Consider the following 8298-nt stretch of genomic DNA (forward strand, 5'->3'; position numbering starts at 1 on the left):
CTTTTCTTACTCTGCTACTAAATATATTGTTTTCTTTTCAACTGAATAAACCTTTTCTTGATCAATATAACTTAGAGATTATTTTCATAATTCATTCAACAAATATTATAGAACATTTATTATATAGCAATCAATATTCTCAGAATTGAGATTGCATTAGTATTTTAAAATGATTAATATTCACACACGCAATACAACCATTTTCATGACACTATGACAAGAATTCTGAATTAAGGCTAGTGTTCTTCTGAACAATTATCATAAAGAGATCTGATAGAGTCATGAGATACTATCCTTAAGATAGCCTTTAGTCGAATTTAAACAATATGCATTACTAAATACAAAATGAGTAGGAAAGGGTGTGACAAGAGCAGAGGTGTGGTGAGGTTGGGACATGGTAGGTCTGAGGGCCTTTAACACAGTGAACATTCAGTAAATAGTGTTGCAAAATGAACCTAAGAAGAAGGAATGGTCAAACACTGGAGAGCTTTGTGTGGCACGTTAAGCATTTTATCATTTAAATAGTCTCAAGCAAAGCATAACAGGATCAAATGTACATTTTGGAAAGACAAAATCCACAAAATGTGCACGTGCCCTTTGTTGTTGTATTTTTTATGTGTGTCTCAGATAAGCGAGGAGGGGCAGCAGAGGTGTGAGCATAGTAGCTACTGACATGGAGAGAGGTTGTTGGATTTGAGAGCTATAAAGTGTTACAATTAATAAAACTGTATGATGGATTAGAAATGGGAGATGGTAGATGAACTGTGTCAAAGACATCCCCACAATTGGATGCTTATTGGACATTTAGTGAGACAGAAAATATGAAAGAGACTTCTGTTAGAATAAGGATGAGCTCAGATGCCTTGAAAAGCAATCAAAGCAAAATACCAACCAAGTAGATAGTGAACTAAATGGGCCTGAAGCTCAAAGAAGAGATTTAAGATGGATATACAAATAGATAAGTCACCTGCTTAAAAGTGGAAATAGAAACTATCACTGTGAATGACACCATATCAAGAGAGAAGTTAGGGGAGAGTTTCTCAACAGAAGCACTATTGATATTTTGAACCAGGCAATTCCTTGATGTATATGGCTGTGCATGGTAGAATGTTTGGCGGTATTCCTGCCTTCTACCCAGTAGATGATAACAGCATCACCAGTTGCAATGAGCAAAAATGTCTCCAGGCATTGGTAAATGTCTTCTGGTACAAATTCGTTCACAATTGAGAAACACTGGGTTAGAGCAATAAGATAAGAAAATTCATTTTAACATTCTGTTAACTCTATGTGATGATTCAACTCTACATGTCTTCTTTCATATGCTTATGAAAGAGTATGTGTTTCTATAAATGTATTTTTTAATTATTTCTTCTCAATAAAGTTTTCTTTTCAGAAACCTTTTTCTCAGTATTAAAACATATATTTGGTTATCTTTTCCAATGGCCTTTAATTTAGTGTACATTTTATTTGTACTCTATTATCATCATTATTTTATAGAAAAGCAATGGCACTATTATTATTTCATATTTTGTTATCTGTGCCTTAATTCTATTCAAATTCCACATGAATAATTGTTATGCATAATTGCTAATCCTCAGAATAATTAGGATATTCTTGGAAAATGTCCATTTTACATAAAATATATCAATCATTCAAGGACATTTTTCTACTTTGCTTTGGTTTAAACGCTCTGATTATAATTATACATAGAAATATCCACATATACCTGATCCACCTACTACAATTAAATTCCTAGCATATTTCTAAGTTTTTATATTGCACCAGACAGATTCATAAATGATGTAATAATTTCAAATAGGCAATTCAAAATTGATCTATGTAACATATCGTTAACTCTCTAGAAATGTACTTATCCAGTCATGATGAAATTAGTACAGCAGAAGTAAAAGCTAAAATACATTACTTTGACTTATAAAAGTTAGTGACAAAGTTGCTTAGCAGTACTTAGTTTTCTATTAAAACAAATGGCCTAATTCGTTAAGATCACTTTATGAAGTTTTCTTATCCATTTAGATCCTGTCTATGACATGTTCTTAACATAAATCTTACTAACCTCTGAATAAATTTCTCTAATTCTCATAGGATCAACTTGTTTCATTTATTTTTCCCTTTTTCTTGGGATAAATCTTATAGAATATATATCTTTAGTTTTAAGTATTTTTTTAAATTAAGTTCTCAGACTTACAGGTATAATTTGGTTTTAAATAACTGCTTGCGTTAGTTATCTACTGCTTTGTAACAAATATACCAAAACTTAGTTTCTTTAAAACACGCATTTACGATCTCATTGTTTCTGGGAGTCAGGATTCAGGGCACAGCTTAGCTCTGTGTCTCCTGGTTCAGAGTCTGTTGCAGGCTGATTCAAGGTGTCAGTCAGGGACAATCCATCTCACTTTACAACAGGGCAGGAACCACTTCTAAGATCACTCAATGGTTATGAGAAGGAAGAGGGAGAGAGAGAGAGAGAGACAGAGAAAGAGAGAGAGAGAGAGAGAGAGATAGAAAGAGGTTTCTATTTATAGGTTTCTGCCTTGGGAAGTTGTGATTGTCTGTATTTCCCTGTCTGTCTCTCCAGTTTAAGGGGCAGTGATTTGTCCTGTGAACTCACTTCTCTTACAGATCTAAGAAGAGCTGATTTTTTTTTCAGTTTTTTTTCCTTTTTAATTTCTTATGTGTTAGATAGAATGGTAACCCCAACTTCCTCATATGCTGAACCAGAAAGAAGAAGTCTGTGATATAGTTTTCATGGTATAACTAATTAATATATGCGGTGTATGCTCTTTTACTCATCTCTTAATACCAGATTTCCTAGTTGATTTAATTAAAATGAGGTATTCATGTGTAAATAGTTTGTATTAAAGACACATTGTTAAAAAAATGAATTAAGTGTGTGGTAGTATACCATTGAAAGGTTAATTAGATATGCAAATAAAAAATGCTAAGCATTTATAGTTGAATTGGATTTAAAACCAAGTCATTCTCTATCATTTATTTGTATTATAAGTAAAGTTAACATAATTATAGAGTATCAACTTCACAACTTTTCTACTCTATCTAAATATATTCTTCTGAAAACACAGAAAAGCTATTTTTTAATTTCATGAGTGCCTGAGACTAACATATAATAATAGCAAGAATAACAGCTAACTTATTTTAGTATTTGCTCAATATGAGACAATGTTTTAAGCATTTTAAAGGTATAGCATATTTTAATTTCAATAACCACACTACCATTACCATGGCCATTTTGTAGAGGAGAGCACTGAAGTCGACTCTCACAAACTTTTACCAGCTGACAACTTGTTGAGTTAGATTCCAGACATTCTATTACGCACTCCAAATCAATCATACCCAAACTGTAGTCTCTGGGGGCAGCAAAAGCGTCACCTGCGACCCTGCTAGAAGTGTAGACTTTCGGCTGGGCGAGGTGGCTCACGCCTGTAATCCCAGCACTTTGGAAGGCCCAGGCGGGCAGATCACGAGGTCAGGAGTTTGAGACCAGACTGACCAACATGGTGAAACCCTGTCTCTACTAAAAATACAAAACTTAGCGGGACATGGTGGCGTGCACCTATAATCCCAGCTACTCAGGAGGCTGAGGCAGAAAAATTACTTGAACTGGGGAGGCAGAGGTTACAGTGAGCCAAGATCACGCCACTGCACTCCAGCTTGGGCAACAGAGTGAGACTCCATCTCAAAAAAAAAATTAAAAAAGGCCAGCGTGGTGGCTCACGCCTGTAATCCCAGCACTTTGGGAGGCCGAGGCGGGCGGATCATGGGGTCAGGAGATCGAGATCATCCTGGCTAACACGGTGAAACCCCATCTCTACTAAAAATACAAAAAATTAGCCAGGCGTGGTGGCGGGTGCCTGTAGTCCCAGCTACTCGGGAGGCTGAGGCAAGAGAATGGCGTGAACCGGGAGGCAGAGCTTGCAGTGTGCTGAGATAGCGCCACTGCACGCCAGCCTGGGCGACAGAGCGAGACTCTGTCTCAAACAAACAAAAAAAAGAAATGTAGACTTTCAGCTCCCCGCCAGAACTGCACATTCAGAATATGCATTTTAATAAGTGCTTCCCTATATTATAAACTACTCCACTGCATTTAGTAGTAGTAAGAGTTTTTGCTGTTTTTATAGACTCTGATGCACAGGTTGTGACCGTATTCCTTCATTTACGATAGAAGGGGTTTCATCATTGACCCAATATAGCATGTATTAGGTTGGTGCAAAAGTAATCGCAGGTTTGCCATTGAAAGTAATGGCAAAACCACAATTGCTTTTGCACCAACCTAGTATATAATAAACTCCTTCTCTTATCTAATATTAGAACTAGCATCTTGACAATTTAATGACATATAAGTATGTAGTCCTCCTTTTTTTTCCTTACCTGAGTCCCTGCCTGTCTCAGTACAGCTAAATTTCCTGTTTGGTTAAAGGTGAATGTGTTAAAATAATAATGGAGTGTAATTCATGGATATAAGAAATTAATTCTAGAGTTAAATTTTGTCAACTCTTCTCTTTTCTCAATACATCAAATATTGTGTTTAACACATTCTAGTATTTTATTCTACATCAGTAGGGTATTGATTAGAAGAATTCCAAATTATTTTACACAATATTGAATAAATAATTTAACCTTTAAAAAATTGAAGTACATCTAAGAAGAAAAAAAATGAAGATGTAGAAAGAGAGAGTAAATAAAAAGATATGTTATTTTAATAAACATTAACTTGACAGAAAGAGTAGTTGCCTTGCTGTCAATTTGTAAGCTTTTGTCATCTAGGGTTTAGGTATAATACAAGTGATTGCTTCCAGGTTCCAAGGGTGTTCATCCTGTTAGTTAAGCATAGTACCTACAGTCAGAACAATGTCAGGGATTACTTCTAATTTGGCCCATTGTTAGCAAACCAGTAGAATTCTCCAAAAGTAGGTTTTCTAATTTGTGGTGAGATATCACATTCATGAAACATAATTTTCCAAGAGGAAACATCCTTTAATAATGGAAAACAACTAAATGTCATCTATAGCAAACACGATAATCTACATTGGAGCGTGCCTACTAGTTGCGAGTCTTGAACAGAACACTTATAGAAATCTGTGTCATAATTTCATATGCTCTATTGTTTTGATTCTTTCTACTTTAGCATTTAAAAGAGCTAAGATTACAACCAGATGAAATGAAAAAAATCATAGGAATTAAGCAAAAAAAAAAGTCCGAAATTGCTGAGATTTAAAGGAATTCAAATGATGCATACATATAATATTAAGCCAGCTCAATATTTTGCTTTTACCTGAAATATATGGATTAGTAGATTCAGATAATTTCCTTAGTTTTTTATTGCACGTTTCATATATCATAAAACAAAGTAACCAATTAAAGTTAAATGGTATTAACATTTTAAAACATTCACAATATTTAATGAAAGCCACTAGAAATAAATGAAGTCACTACATATAGTAGGAATAATTTTTAGTGTAGGAGTAGAAGCAGCAGCGATTGCAGGCTCCCATCAGAAAAAAACGTAAGTGTGTGAAGCCTTTACTGGCAACCAAGGTATCCAGGTTCTCTCATCAAAAATGACTAGAAGACCGGCGTGACCCACAGATAGAAGGAAGAGCAGTGTGGTGTCGTGGCCCACCTGAGAACCACAGGGGGAAGGAGAACCCCTTTCCCCTCAGCCAAGGGAGGTGGTTAGCAAGCATGCTATCCAGCCAGGGAAACTGTGCTTTTTTTCATGGAACTGTGCAACCCACAGATTGGAAGATTCCACTCGTGAACTCACACCACTGGGGCCTAGCGTCCAACCCCAAGGCATGCAAATTCTTACAGCCTCTCAGTTGGAATCTGCTTAAGCCTACCAAACTCCCAGGGGAGGGATGGACAACTAGTACTGGCTGTGGCTGCCTGTTGTCTAAGCTTTTGAGTTCCTTGGGGGAGGGGCAGCAGCCATCACTAGGACTTGCAACTGCCTAACACACTAAGTTTCTTGGGCAGGGGAAGGGTGGCACCCATTTCCATAGCTCCAGGCTGCACTTTTCCCCTGCTGGAGCCAGGGAGGCTGGACGGCTTGGTCCCAAGACTTGTCCCCATAGCCCAACACACCAGTTGTGGCAGTCTGTGGCCAAAGTGCCTCTTCAGGTCTAACCCTGATTCATCCTTCTTCAGTAGCTGGGGCTTCCCTGCAAGATCTCCAATAACTCCAGCCACAGGCTGAAGGACAGAATTCGGATCTCCCCAGGCCTGAGCCCCACTACAGGGGGAGGGCTGGCAGCAGTCTCTGCAGACCAGCAGACTTAGCCTCTCCTCCTGCTAGTTCTGAGGAATCTAGCAGCCCAGACAAGTGGGTTCCCCCCAGTGAATCACACCCTCTCCACCAAGGGGATAAAGTGCTTCCTTAAATGGGTCCTGTTCCCTGTGCCACCCAACTGGGTGAGACCCTCCAACAGGGGGTGTCAGACACCCTATACAGGAGTGATCCAACTGGCATAAAGTTGGTGCCTCTTGAGGTCAGAGGTCCCAAAAGAAGGGGCAGGCACCCATCTTTGATACTCTCCAGCCTGCTTGAGTGACATCCCCAAGCACGGGAGCGAATCAGATGAATAGGACCTGAAGTGAACCCACAGCAAACTGCAGCAGCCCTACAGAATAAGGACCTGACTATTGAAAGAAAAACAGACAAGCAGAAAGTGACAACAATAGCATCAACAACAACAACAACAAAAAAGGCCCCCCAAAAACCCCATCCAAGGATCAGCAGCCTCAAAGACTGAAATTAGACAAACTCATCTCATAAAGATGAGAAAGAATCAATGATAAAATGCTGAAAACCCAAAAGGCCAGAGTGCCTCTTCTCCAAATGATTGTAACGTTTCTCCAACAAGGGTGCAGAACTGGGTGGAGGATGAGATGGATGAATTGACAGAAGCAGGCTTCAGAAAATGGGTAATAAAAAACTACATGAGCTAAAGGAGCATGTTCTAACCTAATGCAAAGAAGCTAAGAACCTTGATAAAAGCTTAGAGGAATTGCTAACTAGAATATCCAATATAGAGAGTAACATAAACGACCAAATGGAGTAGAAAAACACAGCACGAGAACTTCGTGAAGCGTACACAAGTATCAACAGTCAAATAGGCCAAGTGGAAGAACGAATGTCAGAGTTTGAAGACCACTTTACTGAAATAAGACATGCAGACAAGAATAGAGAAAAAGGAATGAAAAGGAATGAACAAAGCCTCCAAGAAATATGGGACTTCATAAAAAGTTCAAATCTACCATTGATTGGAGTACCTGAGCGAGACAGAGAGGATGGAAACAAGCTGGAAAACACACTTCAGGATATTATCCAGGAGAACTTCCCAACCTAGCAAGACAGGCCAACATGTAAATTCAGGGAATACAGAGAACACCATTAAGATACTCCACAAGATCAACCCCAAGATACATAATCATCAGATTCTCCAAGGTCAAAATGAAGGAAAAACTGTTAAGGACAGCCAGAGAGAAAGGCCAGGCCACCTTCAAAGGAAAGCCCATCAGACTTATAGTGGACCTCTCAGCAGAAACTTTATAAGCCAGAAGAGATTGGGGACCAATATACAACATTCTTAAAGAAAAGAATTTCCAACCCAGAATTTCATATCCCTAGCCAAACTAAGCTTCATAAGCAAAGGAGAAATAAAATCCTTTCCAGACAAGCAAATGTTGAAGGATTTCATTACCACCAGGCCTGCCCTGCAAGAGCTCCTGAAAGAAGCACTAAATATGGAAAGGAAAAGCCAGTAACAGCCACTGCAAAAACACACCAAAATATAAAGACCAATGACACTACAGAGAAACTGCATCAACTAGTTTGCAAAATAAACAAATAGCATCATGAGGACAGGATCGAATTCACACATAACAATACTACCTTTAAATGTAAATGAGCTAAATGCTCCAATTAAAAGACACACACTGGCAAATTGGATAAGGAGTTGAGACTCATTGGCGTGCTGTATTCAGGAGACCCATCTCATGGGCAAAAGACACACACAGGCTTAAAATAAAGGGACAGAGGAAAATTTACCAAGCAAATGGAAAGCAAAAAAAAAAAAAAAAAAAAAAAAAGTAGGGGTTTCAATCCTAGTCTCGGACAAAACAGTCTTTAAACCAACAAATGGCTGGGTGCAGTGGCTCACACCTGTAATCCCAGTACTTTTGGAGGCCGAAGTGGGTGGATCACAAGGTCAGGAGTTTGAGACCAGTCTGGCCAACATGGTGAAACCCTGTCTCTAC

The 8298-nt window shown here is 38.4% G+C and overlaps 1 annotated feature.

Moving 5' to 3' along the window:
* Window positions 6003–6503: an enhancer, noted in NCBI's record as "H3K27ac hESC enhancer chr4:179300357-179300857 (GRCh37/hg19 assembly coordinates)". NCBI's record gives its function as "activates a minimal SCP1, AML or CMV promoter by ChIP-STARR-seq in naive H9 embryonic stem cells {active_cell/tissue: H9 hESC(naive)}" and the evidence as "EXISTENCE:reporter gene assay evidence [ECO:0000049][PMID:30033119]".

Source organism: Homo sapiens, chromosome 4, assembly GCF_000001405.40.
Source record: "Homo sapiens chromosome 4, GRCh38.p14 Primary Assembly".
Lineage (NCBI taxonomy): Eukaryota > Metazoa > Chordata > Mammalia > Primates > Hominidae > Homo > Homo sapiens.